This window comes from Homo sapiens, chromosome 2 (assembly GCF_000001405.40).
Source record: "Homo sapiens chromosome 2, GRCh38.p14 Primary Assembly".
Lineage (NCBI taxonomy): Eukaryota > Metazoa > Chordata > Mammalia > Primates > Hominidae > Homo > Homo sapiens.
Window position 1 is genome coordinate 34,325,801 of NC_000002.12, and position 18,977 is coordinate 34,344,777.

At 35.8% G+C, this 18,977-nt stretch overlaps 1 long non-coding RNA gene across 1 annotated transcript in view; it reads right to left on the reverse strand.

Moving 5' to 3' along the window:
• LOC105374457 (uncharacterized) overlaps window positions 1–17,858 on the reverse strand; it is a 37,371-nt gene extending 19,513 nt beyond the window's left edge. The window contains exons 1-4 of the long non-coding RNA XR_939952.1: window positions 17,613–17,858; window positions 16,628–16,717; window positions 14,248–14,396; window positions 9,889–10,033 (exon numbers count right to left, since the gene is read on the reverse strand). This is a non-coding gene — a long non-coding RNA (uncharacterized LOC105374457). The remainder of the gene's footprint in view (window positions 1–9,888; window positions 10,034–14,247; window positions 14,397–16,627; window positions 16,718–17,612) is intronic.
• Between the last annotated feature and the right edge of the window lie 1,119 nt (window positions 17,859–18,977).

Genomic DNA, 18,977 nt, shown 5'->3' on the forward strand with positions numbered 1-18,977 from the left:
GTGCTTTTGTTTCTAAGTATGGCTTTTAAGATGCATTATATTAACTCATGACCCCCTGAGGAGCCTCAGTCTAGTTTGAGAAACTGGTTCCTTATTGGCCTGACACAGTAAGTTCTCCATCATCAGGTCATTGCCTATACCTTTTCTCCATTACTCATCTTTTCTCTGTTGCTCACCTCACACCTTCTCAATGAAGGTAATTGCAAACAACTGGCTGGATATGGAGAGAAATCGAGGGATACTGGAGGGATATGGAGTTTTTTCCAGTGGGCTTTTTGACATTTGGTTTATCTGTCTCTCTTGTCTTTCCATTCAAAGCCATCTGGACTCTTTCCCTAGAATAGTCTTTCTAAAACCCTGCTTTTGTTATGCAAAAGAAACATACAATGACTCTTTCCTCCCATATAAGCCCTGTTGTCCTCTGTCTGGTATTCAAGTCCCTGGAAAAATGGATCCCCACACCAATCCAGTCCAGTCTTAAAGCATCCCAATATTCCTCAACATCACACACAGCTTGTTCCAGGCCAGTAGCCCTGCATGTTTCTGGGTGCCCATCCATCACATTCTTACTTCTACTATATTGGCATTGTCCTTGGAGTCTTCCCCTCCTGCATATCTAGACAATCTTCTCAACTCTGTTCTACTTTTAAAAATCCCATTCATTCCTCAAGAACCAACTCAAGTCACTCTTTCTTTAGGAAGCCCTCTTGAGAACTTAAAGCCAAATTAATTCCTACTCTCTGAACTCCTACAAATGTTGAGGGAGTCAGGCAGCTTGTCATAGAAAGAGCATAAGCCTTGAGCTGAGATTCCTGGATTTGGAACCATGTCTGACACTTATTAGCTGTGGGCAGATTATCTGATACTTCAAATCACTCATGAGTAATACACAACTCAAAAGTCTTGGTTCTACAGTAAAAAAAAGTCCATTTTAAACATTACTTGACTGCCTCTCTTACGAAATTTAGATGACAGGAAACGTCTTATATTCCAACTTTGTGGTCAGATTCAGAGAGTTCTCAGTGGTTGACTTGTTGATTGATTAATTTCCTTTCAGATACAAAATCTACACAGAGCAAATTTAAGCCACCTACAGTATTTAATAGTACTCATAATTAAATTCAATTTCTCTTTATTAACTCTGACCCCTTGTAATCCTTTTCATTAATTATGCACGACTTCTACATTATGTTTTCTTTGAACTGCATATTCCTATAGCTGTTTTTACCTTTCACGATTTTCTTTTATTTTAATTTATCCAGTAGTACCATTCTCAGCGCAAAATATTTTTAATATTTGAAATCTACCAAATTTCCCCCATCATATAGAATGAAGGACATGAATACCAGAAATCCAATTATAGCATTGCCATATATAGTTTTTCCTAAATAAAATCACATTTCACTATTTTTATTTGAGCTTTAGTTAGAGCAATTGCTACAGAGGAAATAAATAATAGTAATAGAAAGTTTTCTGAGTTGGTGCTTTTGGAGATACCATTATTTATCACTGTGGCTGTTAGACAAATGTTTATTGCTAGACAGCTAAGGCCAAAAAGAAAAGAGAGATTGAATGAAGACTGCCTGCTGTTGGCATGCATGAGTGTGTGTGTGTGTGTGTGTCTGTCTCTGTGTGTTTCTATATGCATGTGTATGTGTATGTGCACATGTGTTTTCTGTGACATGGAATCATTGTCTAGGGAACAGGAATCTGTCGCAGAAAATAGTAAAATCTTGCATCCATGAAAGAGAAAAAAAGATAAGAGGAAACAGAAAACTATCAGATAACAACTAAATTCCTTGTGTTTACAAAAATAATAATAACAGAACAAACATCTCATATTCCCTGTTCCAGTTTCTGGGACTTCTCCTAGGAAAGACAATTATTATTTTTATTGCTTTTAGTTTGCAAACTTTCTCTCTAATGTGCCAATGGATAGCTCCAAACTAGTAAATAATTACGTATTATACACAAATACTGTGTTTGCCTTTCTACTGTAAACTTCCTAGCCCCAAAGCAAATTAATCTCCTGATTGTGTGCTCTGTTACTTACAGTAAATACATCACCAAATATAGTAGATCGGCAAAATAAGGCCTTTATGATCACCAGAAAAAATTGTGGGCAGTCTAATTTCTAGTAAGTGCTGAGGTATGTCTATGTCCCCACATCTAGAAAACACTGTAGAAAGGAGGTTTAAGTTTAATTTTATCTACATTTTTTCCTCTATGAATAACTTAATTAACAAATGAAAGAATTTTAATAAAGTAGTAAAAGTAATGCAGAAACCATGCTATTCCTTCTTTCCATTTTTATCTGCAACAATAATAATGGACCTACATGGCTCAATTTTTCTAGCACAAAATGTAAAACCCTAACATGTGCCCATTTTTTTTTTCTTTTCTTTGATTACACAACAGAATTTGTTCATTTATCGAAAGCTAGCTCACCCTGTCCCTTCCTTTTTTTCTGGCCTCCATCTTCTCTCATGTTACAATTTTGTTCCCATAGTCACCTCCTCTCTCTCTTCTGCTTCACAAATCGTCTCCTCTTCCCCGCACACACCTGTTTCTTCCTCAGTCTTCTCTGTCTTGGGAAGTGGCACCAACATCTCCCCACCTACTCAATCCCAAACCCAGGAGTCATCCTTGATTCATCACTTTCCTTCATCTCCCAGGACCAAACCATTCTGAAAATTTTGCTCCCAAAGGATATCTCAAACTGTCCATTTTCCCTCTCTTCTCTAACATAACTCTAGACCAAGCCACCCATATCTCTCAGGCAGACTCTCTTGTTTCTCTAATATTTAGGCTTTACATCACATGCAGAGTAGTGTTTTTAAAATGTAAATAAAATCACTTCAGTCCTTTGATTCAATCTCTTCTTAAAATCCTTCCAATACAATTCAAACTTCTCACTGTGGCTCTAACAGGGCCTCGCAGTCCTCCCACATGATCGGGCCCAACCTCTGCTCATCCTCAGCTCACATTGCACCTTCCCTTGCTCATCTCTGTAGCCATAGTGATCTTCTTTCTTCTTTAAAAGATGCCAGTAATGCTGCAGTTGATATTTTGGGTCTTGGCACTTTGGCTACATACTTTCCTTGAAAGTCCTTCCTTAGCTTTTTACAGAGCTGCTCTCTCTCTCATCCTCCAGCTCAAAGGTCACCTCCTTAGACAAGCTTTATGAACACCACTTTCGAATTTAGCCTTCTGTAGCCATCTAGTTACTCTCTATTATGCCTTATTGCTTTATTTCCTTTATGACACTTATCAAAAGCTGTAATGATCCGGTTTTGCTATTTGCTTAGCTTTTTGATCCCGCTTGAATGTAAGCCCCCAGAGAGCAGGAACCTTAAGTGTGTCATTGTTGCCTGTCCAAAATAGTACTTAGCACACCTACAATTATAGGTTCTGGTGTGAATGACACCTCTAGAGTGTTTCAACATGGCATTCCTGAGTGCATCTCTTTCCCTTTGGTGAATCTGTATAATATTTTGCAGGTACTTTTGTGTTTGTACCACAGCTGAAACTTTTCTTTCTGTTAGTCTTACCAGGATAATGATCTTGGCATTATATACGGAAAAGCCACAAGAGGTCTGCAGAATTACCATTTTAAAATCTAAAAAGTCTTCTAATGAACAAAGTAGATTTGAAAAGAATTGACTAGTTCCTATGAAGTTATGAAATCTATAAAATTTGAGACAGAGGTACAAAAAATTAAATCAAATGATGTAGCAGCCTAGGTGGAAGGTTGCATGTGGAAAAAAAAAAGGGGTAGAATGAGGTAAGGATGTGACTCAAGTGTAGAAAAATGGGTAACACTACCACCTGTGTTCTTTAATTTAAGGACTCTAAGATACGGTGCTTAAAAATGGAAGTCAGCCTGACAGTTGGGATTGTGAGAAAAATCACCCTGGCTATCTGCAGCTCCAGACCTCATATTCCTGACCTATATTTCTGGTCCTTATATAATTTTAATCCTTTGAGAAGGTGCATGGGGTGATGTAATTATTTCCTTAACATCATTAACCACAGGAAGATTTAGGATTAAGCATAAATATTTTTAATTGAAACCACACACATAGTGTAAATATTTTTGTGTTAAGAAGGTCATTTAGCATTTTGGTTAGTTTAAGAGAATTAATGTAAAGACAATTTAGTAATGTTTAACAGAATTTGTCTTTTCCAAGTAAAATATTAACCTTATGATTCTAATTTAAAATATGTAATTAAGTAATTGCTTCAGACTTGTAATTTACTAAGACTGTGTTATGTTGGTAAATTTAAATAATCTAAGAATCATCATATCTATAGTTTTAATTTTCTGCTGGTTTTATAATACGTATTAGGGTAGATTTTATTTTATAAGTTAGCCAAAGTACTTAATCAGGAAACTATATTAAATTTACGAATGCAATTTAAAACATTGTGTGTGTTAGTTTATAAATGAGACCATTGCTAAAATTTGCGGGAAATGTAAATAGAATAAAAAGATTTTTATGTTGGATCTCAAGCTTAAAAATAGGGTTTTGAGCATTATAAACAAGCCACCAAATAACTTTTGGACCCTAAAATTACCCTTGAGATATCAAGGGCGGTGAAACGAGAGGTAGAAGGAGATTTGCACTAATCTCTGAGTTTCTTGAATTAAAAAGCCTAGCTGAAGCCAAAATACATCACATTGTTAGGTTGTGAGCCATAACAGACAATGGAAACTATGCATATTAAAAAATTATGAGCTTCAGTCTTTTCTTCAAACTCTGTTCACTACAGGATAATAGTGTTGTCTGCCTGAAGTAGCCTACAGATAAGTGGAAAGTTGCTAAGTTCATCTCGAAAATATGCACAAATACATACATTCTGTACCACTTTCATTCTCACAGAAAACTCTGAAGGTTGGCACTGTTACCGCTATTTTCAAGTGATTCAAAAAGATTAAGTGGTTTACCCAGAATCATATAGCAAGAAAGTGACGAAAGCAGAATTTGAACCCAGAATTTTATAACTCTGAAGCTTTTGGTTTGTCTCACCCTGTTTGCTAATGAGGTAATTCATTATTAGATAACATAGCTACAATTATAATCAATCAGCCTTTATTATATGGCAAGGCCTTGACCTTGAAGTATCAACTGACAGTCAGGTAGAGAGAGGTAGGTAAACTTTTCTGGTGTGGATGACTGAAACTAACAAATATGACTTTTGCCTCCCTTCAAATAATTATACCAGGAAGACAGATGCTTAGGCAACTTATTTGAAGGCTGTATTTGCATTGTGTTTATTGTTTCTTTTTTGAAACAATGGACGCATTCTTACAAACACTGTATTCTGACAATATTATATAAAATTGTGATGGCAATTAATTTAAAACTTCTGAAAGTTCTGTAAATCCTATAACATTGTGGGAAAGCATTTTTTTTGTTTGTTTTGTTTTTTGAAAAGGAGTCTCGCTTTGTCGCCCAGGCTGGAGTGCAGTGGCGCGATCTCGGCTCACTGCAAGCTCCGGCTCCCGGGTTCATGCCATTCTCCTGCTTCAGCTCCCGAGAAGCTGGGACTACAGGCACCCGCCACCGCGCGTGGCTAATGTTTTTTGCATTTTTAGTAGAGACGAGGTTTCACCGTGTTAGCCAGGATGGTCTCAATCTCCTGACCTTGTGATCTGCCCGCCTCGGCCTCCCAAAGTGCTGGGATTACAGGCGTGAGCCACTGCGCCCAGCCTTGGGAAAGAATTTTGATAGTTGTTAAGCCTAGCATTTCACTGGTAAACTGGCCTGTGCCTGTGTGCCCGTGCATGCACAAGTGTGTGTGTGCTCGTGCATGCATGTGTGTGTGTGTGCCCGTGCATGCATGTGTGTGTGTGTGCCCGTGCATGCACGTGTGTGTGTGGGCCCGTGCATGTACGTGTGTGTGTGGTGGTGGTAGTGTTTTCTAGTCAAGTGTGAAACCTGCATTAGCAAGAAATAGTGAGGATGGCATTAAGCCCTTGTAGACTGGGACACTGGCCTTTGTCAGTGCAAACACTAATGTTTTCAAGGTTTTACCGGTTAGGTCCTAACCTGTTGAAGAGAGGCAGCTGTATGCCCGATGGCTTTTCTGGGACTGCAAGAGGGCCCTGATTAGCTTCTTGGACTATGCTATTCAAGTCAAATTTTCAATAATGAATAATAAGGATTTTTATTAGTACCATGACAAAACTCAAAAGGCCAGGTCATTTGTGTTGGACTCACCATGGGCCTCAATCAGTACTAAGTGGGGAAGACACTTGTATGAGTCAGCTGATGGTAGTTTTCTGGCTGTGATACCTCAGGGGCATGAAGCGAGTGTTCAGATCAACCTAGAGGAAGGTCATATTGAGTAGTCACATTGAGTCTGCCTGGTCGGTGGCCCTTACACATATGATTTTGTTAGACGACCAAAGGAACCTGTCCTTTACCCGGCTTCTGGTTTGCATTACATGCAACTCTAGAACCAGTGATAAAGTGAGAACATCATATGAAGCTGGGAGATATGCAGCGTGGCAGAGGTGACAGAAACACAAAGGCTTTAAGGAGTGGGGCCTTATGGTCACCTGTAAATGTCCCTATAGACCAAACCTAGAATTCCTTTTCATTAATGCCTGGGAAATAGTATGGGTTAGTGGATACATGCACAGATTCTATGACCACATTACCTGGATTCAAATCTTGATCTAGCCACTTATTAGCTGTATGACCTTTTAAAATAAAATAAATATTAGCTATTGCTTTAACCTGTAAGAAACTACCTAAAAATTGGATGAACTTTGGGAAAGAGTTGCTCATTCAAGGCGCCCTCAAGATAAGTGTTGCTGAAGATTTTTTTAAGACACTGAAGAATTACACCATGGAAAAGCTCAACTCAGTTACCTTCTAGTTACCTGCCCTTTCTTAACAATGAATTCACTATCAAGCGTGGTTCCTGATCTGCTTTACTCACGGTTTTGGTTTAGAATTCACTATTTTTACAAGGATTTCTCCAATTATAGAAAATATATTCATTTGTAGGTCATTTGAGGAAATTAGTTGTTTAATATTTACATACTTTAATATAGAGTTACCTTTTTATATTGAAAAATAGAGTAGGGAAGCATGGTTTTTTTTTTTTCCCCTCTGGGTTATCATTTAACCAGACCTTAATAAGCTGTCTCTTTGGTCTAAACGAGTGACCTCATGAGCAGCAGCAGCATCACCACCAAGAAGAATGTCAGAAATGCAAAATCTCAGGCCTCACTTCAGAGCTGCTGCATTAGAAATGCTGAGACTAAAGCCACTGCCTAAACCTCCTTTGTTAACCGGCAGTCTTGCTATGGGTTCACTTTAATCCACTATGAACAATGACCCTCTAATGCCCAAAATGAGATGTACACAAGACAATCCATTGGTATATGGAAAGAAAATACTATAAGTTCTATTTACATATTGATGTTGTCCTATTCTAGTTTATATATTTGCGTTTGTATTACAATGTACAAAACATATATGTATATTTATAGGTATGGTATGTATACACACATACATATATACACAAACACACATACACACATACATAATATCATACATACAATGTTTAAATAATTATAAGTTAGCATACCTAATATGAAGTACAGTTTGGAGGTTCTTCAAAAAACTAAAAATTGAGCTACCATATGATCCAGCAATCCCACTGCTGGGTGTGTACCCAAAAGAAAAGAAATTGGTATATCAGAGAGATATCTGCACTCCTATGTTTGTTGCAGAACTATTAGCTAAGATTTGGAAGCAACCTGTGTCCATTCAACAGATGAATGCATAAAGAAAATGTGGTATCTATACACAAGGGAGTACTATTCAGCCATAAAAAAAGAATGAGATCCAGTCAATTGCAGCAACATGGATGGAACTGGAGATCATTATGTTAAGTGAAATAAACCAGGCACAGAAAGTCAAACATCACATGTTCTTACTTATTTGTGGGATCTAGAAATCAAAACAATGAACTCATGGACATAGGGAGTAGAAGGATGGTTACCAGAGGCTGGGAAGTGTAGTTGGGGGTTGAGAGAGAGAGGTGGGGATGGTTAATGTTTACACAAAAAGTAGAAAGAATGAATAAGACCTACCACGTGGTAGCACAATAGGGTGATTATAGTCAATCATAACTTAATTGTCCATTTTAAAATAACTAAAAGTATAATTAGATTGTTGTAACACAAAAAATAAATGTTTGAGGGGATGGATACCCCATTCCCCATCATGCATTTATTTCACATTGCATGCGTGTATCAAAACATCTCACGTACCCCATAAATATGTACACCTGCTATTTACCCACAAACATTTTTTAAAATAAAAATAATTATAATTTGGAGAAATTATAACATATATGTACACAAATACATATAAATATTTTTTCTTACAGATAGGTATGTTGCATAAAAAATTTTGGACACCATTGTTCTGAAGAATATAAGCAGTTATGACATATCCTGAACACCACAATGTCCAGGAAATGAAAACAATTACAGTAAAAGTAGTTTATGTATTTTCATTATAGTTAAAATTCAGCTAGCTCTCCAGGCACTTGCTTCAGATATTCTTACATTGCCAATTGCCAATGGTTATCACAATTAGGTCTGAATAGTTTATCAGATAAGTACAGAATGAGTAATAATCAATGCTTTTGCTCCCCCCAGCTGAAATGAATGACATATATTTTGCTAAATTCTATTGACTAAAGAAATTCAATAATATATATTTGAGCAGAAAATTCCACCTGCCCTTTGCTGGCATTAAAGAGCTTTTAAGTTAAATACAAAAGCAGAGTTGGCTTAGCGAAAATAAATCAGCACTCAGTATGGTCTGCATTATTCTAGGAGTGATGTGCAAGACCCATGCTTCTATTATTCCCTCCTTCTGACTTTGTACTACTTTATTTGCTATTACTTCCAGATGAGGATTAGAGGAGGAAGATATATAAAGCCCACATTTATAAATTAGACTCTTCACTAACATCCAAATAAGTAGCAACATATAGATACGGAATAGGCTTCAAGGCTTGACATACATTTGGAATATCTATTCTTGCCATTCTTTCCACTCATTAACATCTAGTTGAGTGTCTACTATGTAAGTGATACCTGTCTTTGGATTTTCTCAAATGTCTATGATTTTGTATATAATCTCTTAAGTTCCTTTTGTAGTTTCCCAAGAAATTATTCTGGATAAAATAGGAATGCAATAAATTCACATATAAATGGATTTAGGACTTGTTGAATGGCTTACGGATTACTAGGCAAAAATTTGCCTTGACAAGTTATTTCTTGAAATAAAGTGCAGAAAAATACAAAATATTGCTGTAAGAAAATAAAAGAGACCTAAATAAATGCATACATTTACCATGTTTATGTATAAATAGTCAATATTATTAAGAGTTATTTTTCCATGATTTATAAATTCTGAGAAAAGTTTCTATAAACTTAGGAAAGTACTTATTCTTTAGTCAAACTAACAAGTGGTTACCCAAGCTGCTCTAAACCTGTTAAGTTAATCAATGACAACTCACCTCAGTGAATGTGCAAACTGATCAGTGTGAACCCCTTGTTCCTAAATATTAGCAATCCTATTTCAATTTAGTTTAATAAGCACACCTCTAAATGTTAACCAATCTTGCCTCTCTAACCTTGTGTCTATGGATGATGTCCCGTCCACTTGTTCCTCTGAAAGCCCATCAACCTCTGAGTTTCACACTGTTCAAAAATCCTATATAAGGTTAATATTCTATTTTGCTCAGAGAAACAAGCATAGCTTTACCTATTATAGTGAGTGAATTAGTTTGCTAGGGTGTCATAACAAAGTATCACAGACTGGGTGGCTTAATGAAAATGTATTAACTCACCATTCTAGAGATTAGAAGTTCAAGATCAAGGTAGCTGCAGGGTGGTTTTTATTGTGGGGCTCTATCCTTGTTTTGTAGATGGCTGTCTTCTCCCTGTGTCCTCACAGCAAGACTTGGACTCTGATGTCTGTGCCTTAATCTCTTTCTGTAAGGAAACAAGTCATGTTGGACAAAGGCCCACTCTAAAAACCCCACTTTAACTTAATAACTTCTTTTAAGAACCGATCTCCAAATACAATTATATTCTGAAGTACTGAGGGTTAGGACTTCAATATGTGAATTTTGGTTGACACAATTTAGTACAAAAGAGTAAGTAATAAATTCATCTTTGTTTTAAATAATTTTTTTCTCTAGAACTATAGCTTCAGAGCCTGTTTAATGTAGTTTAGTGTTGTGTCCTCCTCAAAAAGACATGTTAATGTTCTAACCCTGGTTCCTAAAAATGCGACCTCATTTGGAAATAGAGTCTTTGAATATATCATCAAGTTAAGATGAGATCATACTTGATTAGAGTAGGTCCCAACTCAATATGGCTAATGTTCTTATATAAATGGGAGAAGACATATAGAGATAGACACACACAGGAGAAAATGCCATGTGACAGTAGAGGAAGAGATTGGAGTCAAACAGCTGTTAGGCAAGGAATGCCAACTACTTCCAACAGTTTTGGGAAAGGAAAACAAAGTTTGAGGACCACTTTCTAAAAAGCTATAGCATTCATTATTGTGATATTGGAATAAAAATGTTTAAAAATAGATCAATGGATCAGAACATTTATAGACTCAATTGATACAGTCAGTTGATTTTAGACAAAGATATCAAGGCACCAAATGTGGAAAAAATAGACTTCTGAGCAAATGAACAACCATATGGGAAAATAGTGAAACTGAACTTCTTTCTACCTGATGCAATAGACAAAAATTAATTTGAAATTGATCACAGAGCCAAATATAAAAGCTCAAACTACAAGCTTACAGAATAAAATATGAAAAATTCTTCACAAATTTAGAGTATAAAAATATTTCTCAGAAAAAAAAATCACAAAAGTTCTAACAATATGTACAAATGGCCAATAAGCATAAGAAAAGATGCTCAATATAATTAGTCATCAGAGAAATGTAAATTATTAATAAAATTAGAGTAAGATATCATTTTATATATACTAGAATGACTATATTAAAATATATATAAAAATTGAAAATATCAAGAGTTGGCAAAAATATGAAGCCACTGAAACTTGAATATATCATTTCTGGGAGTCTACAATAATAGACTTTAGCAAGTATTTTATTAGTTCTTATGTTTTATATACACTACCCTCTGATCCAACAATTTCATTCTTAAGTATTTACCTAAGAGAAATGAAAGCATACACCCACAAAAAGATTTGTACATAAATTTATTATCACAGCTGCATTCATAATAACTAAAAGCTGGGAAGCAGTGGTATGTCAACAGGTAAGTTGTGCTGTATTAATACAAGGTGTGCTATAGTCATACACTGGAATAATATTCAGATAAAAAGTGAATGAACTTTTGATACTCATGGATAAATCTCACAGAATATCAAGTGAAAGGAGTCAGATACAGAACTTTATACTCTGTTATTCCATTTCTATGGAGGTCTAAAGTTGGCAAATCTAATCATTGGTGACAGAAACCAGATCAATGGTTGTTTGGAACAAAAGGTGAGTTTGAGTATTGATGGTGAAGAGGTGAAGCATATTATCTATCTTGATTATGTAGGTAGCTATTCAGCATATGCATTTGTCAAAGCTTATCAAACAGCACATTTAAAATTCTTTCCATTTTATTGGGTATATATTAAAGTTCATAAAAGTAGAAAAATAGAGTTTAGAATGTTAGCAAGATGGCAGCATAGGACTCTCCATCAGAAACGTCAATTTCAATTAACTATCCACACACAAAAATACCTTTGCAAGAACTGAAGAAACCAGGTGAGATTACAGCACCAGGGAATAGCACAGAAGTAAGAAGAGATGCATTGAAGAGTGTAGGAAGAACAGTTTTACTTTACTCTGGTCACCCTGCTCTAACCCCAGGCAGCACTACCCAGGGAGAGATACTCTCTAGAATGATACCGAGTGGGTACATCCATAAAAATTAAATTATTTGACTTTCCATTTTCTGCCACATTTAGGTAGTTTAATTTGAGAGTTAAATTTGTATATGAAGTTAGTCCCATGTCCTCACACACACTTGCCTGAGTCACAAAGTAGCTGTCAGGTTTGTGACGTCAGATTAGGTTTCAGTATCTGCTGCTTCATAGGTTCTGAATCATCTGTCTTCCTCAGTCTCTGGTCCTTGATTCAAGATTTAATCCCCACTTGAAACCCCATATTCCTCTTGTTACAAATTCCCTCTTCGAGTATTTTTTCTGGTAAGAGCCACTTCAGTCCACAAATTTAAATTTTATCAAATTTAAATCTCAAGGAATTTCCAGACCCTTTCTCCTATAAATCTGTGGATAGAAATACAAGAGCTAGGCTGGGCGTGGTGGCCCATGCCGGTAATCCCAGCACTTTGGGAAGATGAGGCAGGCGGATCATGAGGTCAAGAGATCGAGACCGTCCTGGCCAACATGGTGAAACCCCATCCCTACTAAAAACACAAAAATTAGCTTGGCATGGTGGCATGCACCTGTAGTCCCAGCTACTCAGGAGGCTGAGGCAGGAGAACCACTTGACCCTGGGAGGCAGAGGTTGCAGTGAGCCGAGATCACGCCACTGCCCTCCAGCCTGGTGACAGAGCAAGACTCCATCTAAAAAAAAAAAAAAAAGACAAGAGCTAGAATTACTATACTTAGATCCATTTAGGATCATCCAAGATTCACATAGAAAACAATATGACTACCTAAATCCAGAATGTCTGCCTGGGATCTTTTATACCCAGAGAGCACCTGCTATATAGTAGCTGTTCAGTAAGTTCCATCCCATTCATTTCTTCCTCTAGGTGCTGTCATAAGAAAGTGTGTAGATCTGAACAGGAGCATGTCTGATGTCTAGAGGGAGTTGTTAGTGTTGAGTACCACAATCTCTTCTTGGAAAATCTTCTTTCCCAGATAGAAATCCGTACAAGAAAAATGGTTAGCATTGCTTTTAGACAGCCTCCTGCCTTACCTGCCCCCTCCAAAGAAAAATTCCCATGTGGTATTTTTTATATTTTAAAAATAGTCCATATTAAAATATTTCAGCTTCTTAGGGGCTTGTTTTAAGTGGTGATAATCTTGAAATAATATTGTGAAATGAGATCAGTTTTGAGTTGGTAGAAGCATTTTGATTATCTTCTGGCCACGGCCATTATTTTGTTCTTTTCCTTAGTAATTGAGACTTAGTGATTCAGTCTTCCATGGATTCCCCAGGATCATGAAATCTGAAAGCAGATTTCTGCATTACCAGGTCATTTTCCCAGTCATGTGGAATTTTTTAAGGAAAATGAAAATGATATATGGAGCTTTGTGCCACAATCGTATCATCTTCAGCTATTTAAGCTTTGGTTGTTCACAAGGTATTAGAATTGACAATTCTTTTGAAATATACTTTATGGCTATTTTTACATTATCAGGAAGTTATTATTAACAAAGTCCATATTATAGTTCCAGTAACCTCTAGGAAGGCAAGAAATTGAAAGGTCATATCAATGATAAAATAAACTGTTCAATTTGTTGGTTTTAAATTTAAAAAAAATCCCAAAGCATATGCAAAAGAATCAATAAAACATAAAGTGGTAGAATTTTGGAGCTGCAAAAAGCCTTAATTTATTTCAGAAGAGGAAAAACATGAAAGCACTTAGTAAACTGTGAAGTACCATATAAATCTATAAAATGTGAATTGTCTTTATCTTTGAAAAATCCCTTATTTTTTATGTGACAGAACAGAGAGATGGGGAAATTAAAAATGTTCTTCAAAAGCTTTTCCATTGCCTTCGCAAAATCATTAGAACCATCACCACCGACCTCTAGACAAATTTTCGCTAACTTTAATCTGCAATTATTAGCTGAATTTCAGCCGTTTTTTTTTTTTTCTGGTCATTCTCATTTAACCCAACATCTGCATATACCACTAAACTAGCCCAGAGTCTGTAAGACTGTATACATAACAAGCATTTTCCAAATTCCCCACAACCACATATTTTTTTAGAAAAGAAATGAATATTTGAGGCATACTTTGTTTTTTTAAAAATCAAGCTGACCAAATACTTTTAGGTCCTAATATATTGTTTTCTTTTATAACGAATAACATTTAACTATTTAAGCATATAGATTCAGGATGAACTTCTCACATTACAAGCTGTTAAGAATGGCTGGTTAAAGAGAGAAAAAGAGGGAACACATTTTACCTTACGAGTTTATCGGAAGATTATGTTAGGGCAGTGAAAGAAATTATTATAATACTCCTTGGAGCAATAGCTTTTGAATGTATTTGATTCATACATCTCTTTCTTCAGAAGAAGGCTTTCCAGGCTTGTGGTAGCCACAAAGCAAAACCCTGTAGTAGAACCACAAAATAGAAAAAGTAAGGAATAAAGGCATACCACATACCACTAGAGAAAAATCACCCGATCATGAAGGAAGACAGCAAGAGAGGAATATGGGAACGGAAGATCTATAGCACAATCAGAACACAATTAACAAAAAGGCAACAGTAAGTTCTTACCTACAAATAATTAACCCCATTGCTTAATGGATTAAATTCTCCAATAAAAAGACATACAGTGACTGAATGGACAAAAACAAACAAACAAATTATATGCTGCCTTCACCTTTCAGGACACACAGACTGAAAGTGAAAGGATTGAAAAATATATTTCATGCAAATTGAAACCTCAAGACATCAGAGGTAGCTATACTTACATCAGATAAAAAGTTTATAAGTCAACAACTATAAAACAAGAAGGCCAATTATACAATGATAAAGGGGTCAATTAATGAAGAGAATAGGACATTGATAAATATATATGCACCCAACATTAGAGCACCTAAATACATACAACGTTTGCCTTATGTAGATCTGAAGGGACAGAGAGACTAAATGAAAGAGCAAATCTATAAAACTCTTAGAATAAAACATAGAAGTAGATCCTCATGACCTTGGATTTGGCAATGTAGTCTTAGATATGACACCAAAACCACAAACATCCCAAGGAACAAATAGAATTCAAAATGGAAAACTTCTGTGTATCAAACAACATTATTAAGTAAGTAAAAAGAACCTAGAGTGAGAAAATATTTGCAAGTCTTATAGTGGATAAGAATGTAGTATATTAGTCCATTTTCCCACTGCTATAAAGAACTACCTGAGCCTAGGTAATTTATAAGCAAAAGAGGTTTTAATTGACACACAGTCCCACATGGCATGGGAGGCCTCAGGAAACTTAACAATTATGGTGGAAGGTGAAGGGAAAGCAAGGCACACCTTACATGGCAGCAGGAAAGAGACAGAGAGCAAAGGGAAGTGCCACACTTTTAAACCATCAGATCTTGTGAGAACTTACTCACTTTTATGAGAACAGCATGCAGGAAACCACCCCCATGATCAAATCACCTCCTACCAAGTCCCTCCCTTGACATGTGGGGATTACAATTCAAGATGAGATTTGGGTAGGGACACAGGGCCAAACCATATCATCTAGTATCCAGAATATATAAAGGACCCTTAGAACTCAGGAATGAAAAGACAAACAACCCAATTAAAATAGGCAAATAATTTTAATAGACATTTCTCTGAACAAGATAGACAAATGGCCAACAAGTACAAGCAAATGTGCTCAACCTTGTCAGTCATTACAGAAATGCAAATCAAAGCAATAATGAGATATCCCTTTACATCCACGATGATGGCTATAGTTGAAAACATGAAAAATAACAAACACTGGTAGGGATCTGGAGAAATTAGAGCCTTGCACATTGCAGGTGGGAATGTAAAATGGTGAAACTGCTGTGGAAGACACATTGGGGGGTTCCTCTAAAGTTAACCATAGAACTACCATAAGACCCGGCAATTTAACTCCTAGGTATATACCTCAAAAAATTCACAACAGGTATTGTAACAAATACTTGTGAGCAAATATTCAGAGCAGCACCCTTGACAACAGCCAAAAGATAGAAACAATCCAGTGTCTATTGAATAATGAATTAATAAGCAAACGTGGTATATATAGTGTTATACAATGGTATTATTCAGACATAAAATGAATGAAGTACTTACAGTTGTTTCAGCGTGGATGAACTTGTAAAACATTATGCTAAGTGGAAAAAGTCAGCCACAAAAGTTCACATATTTTGATTTCATATGTGAAATATCTAGGATAGGCCAATCCATAGAGAGAGAAAGCAGATTAGTGGCCAGGGTTTGGAATGTGGGTTGGGGGAGATAAAATATGAAGTGCCTTTTTAATGAAAATGGGGATTCCTTTTGAGATGATGAAATGTTTTAGGGCTAGATCGAGGTGATTGCTCACAACATTGTGAATGTATTGAACACTAGTGAATTGTACATCCATAAAAAAATGTGGTTTATCATAAGACAGTAATAACACCAACAGAAAGAGCAAGATTTCTATAGGCAGGGTCATATGTCATCTGAAATTAATATTGTTAGCTTAATTGTATCTCACACCGAAAATGTTCTGTTCTATCACTTATTGGTTTAAATTACTCTACGATAGAAGCTATGAAAATATGCCTTTCAGATATTCAACCGCAAAGAGTACTACTTACTGAGAACCCCAGCTTCTGAATTTTGACATCATCACTGTGTTCCCACCAATAGTCCACTTCCTATGGACTGCTCCCAGACAATGACTGAGCCTGGCAGGGATAAGACAGGCCCATTATAGAGGAATGGGGGACCTTTCTGAAAGGTGACTTTGGATCAACGACTTCCTTGGAACTGCAATGCCTTCTAAGGCTCTAACACCCATCTTCCTTCCTTCCCCCTCTCCTTTACAAGGCCAGATCTGCATGTGATCTAACAGCTCGCCTGGTCTTCCTTGAGTCCCTTCCCAATTTCCTTCACAGGTACTTCTCCTTATAAACCTCTTGCATGTTTAGTCTTGTTTTGGCATAAGCTTCACAGAGGATCTGGACTAACACATCTATTTACACTAAAATGAAAAGATGAATTACAGAGTGGTAATAAGTTTTTAAGATCCAACCCAAAAATTCAAAGGCAGTTTGTGCTGTTAGTCTCGTGGTTCACATTTAATGGTAGACCCCTGGAGTTGGAGATTTACTTTTCTCTACTTTGTTGGAAAAAACTTTATAGCGCAGCAATGGTCTAATCAGTAGGTTCTCATCGAATGCTCATAAAGCTATTCAGTAGTTCTTATAGCTGACTTGCTTTTAAAAAATACCTTCTACAAAATAGAGAATGTGTAAATTTCTTCTCTTTGATTTATTAACACTCTTTATTGTATCTTGTGCCAGTACACCAGCTGACTCAATAAAGCTTCAATGGAGATAATGTTAAATGCTAGACTCTGAGGTTGGCTACAGTTCTAGATGTCAATAAGCAAACAATCACTTAGCATGCCCTCTACGGGGAATAGTCTTGATTAATTTAAAAGATTAGATTAATTTCATTGAAGAGACAGATTTCCCCTGTAAACGGGACCAGTTTCAAAAACAAGGGTATCACTCTTTTACTTCTTTAATAATAGTAAATATTTATTCTTTATGACTTTAATAAATAGGAGTAACTCACCAATCATTATCAATTTAACCCCAAGGAGTAGCGTCTTCTTCAGGAATTTAGAGGTATTGTGTCTCTATCTGAATCTCATTTCTGGTTCTGTCATTAGCTGTCATCCTGGCAGAATTTCTCTTCTTTTTGTGGTGGGTGTTAGGGTATTTATCCAAAAACAATAAAGTAATTTCCACATTTAACAAATATGTCTTTGTTTTGCCAACTCTTTATAAATACAACATTCGATTAAAAATCATATAAACTTAGGCTATTACTGATATTTTTGTTTTCTTCTAATCTTTACTAGGCATTAACCAAGTGGTAGACAATGAAAGGATCCAGTACATTCCTTCTTAGTGCTTAATAATAATCAAATATAATGACCTTGAGGTACAAAGAAAGCCCTAATTTCTACACAAATTCTATGTGTTCTAATTTATACATATATATGCATAATGGATCACATATGCATATATATGTGTGTGTGTATTAGATTATAGAGCAATTGTGTAGAGATTAGGACTTTATATCTTTCAGATGTTAAAAGCAAAAATATACATTGAAACTAGTATATGTTTTAGACACTTGTGACTTTAAGACAACCAAGAGGTATTATTAAAATCTATCTACTCATTAAAATGTCAATATAACATTAATTAGTTACATAAATATTTTGTTGGAATGTGATATAGATTTGATTATTCATTTCAACCAGAAAATTATGAATTTCTAAATATTACTGCTAAATACAGTTATCTTGGAAGCTAAAATGTGGTCATCTACAGGGAAGTGATAAAGAAAGAAAAAAATTATTATTTTAAAAGTAGCATTGGCGCTATTAAAGCAGCTTTAAAAGATATGAAAAATCAAAGCAAATTGCTGAAGCTTTAGGGAGTTTCTACAATCCTGGATAAACAATGGATAGGGAAAAGAGAATGATTATATAGTCATAGACTGGAGCTATTTCATATGTTCATTTCTGGTATTTACGTTGTTAATATTTAGGGAGACAGTACTATAGAAAATGTTTTACTACATCTCTGTATTTTAATCTAATAAGTATATCTTAAGGGTTTGTTGTATTTTCAGGCATTTTCAAACCACTTTTAAGTTTTAAACATTTGCCCAGAACTGCGTATCCAATTTTGAAATAAAAGTCGTTAGGTAAATATAATTAGTTTAGTAGATATTTACCTTAAGGTTTACTTTCTGGGATATATTTCTTTCACTAGATTGGCTTGTTGGAAGGAATTGAAGTTAAAAAATCAGTGCTTACCTTTTTGTCACAGATTAGAGGGGAGTGGGAATTGGTTTAAAATGAGCTTGAAACTGGCCTATAAGGAGGAAAAAGGCTTTGACCTTGAACAGCAAAAGACCACAATT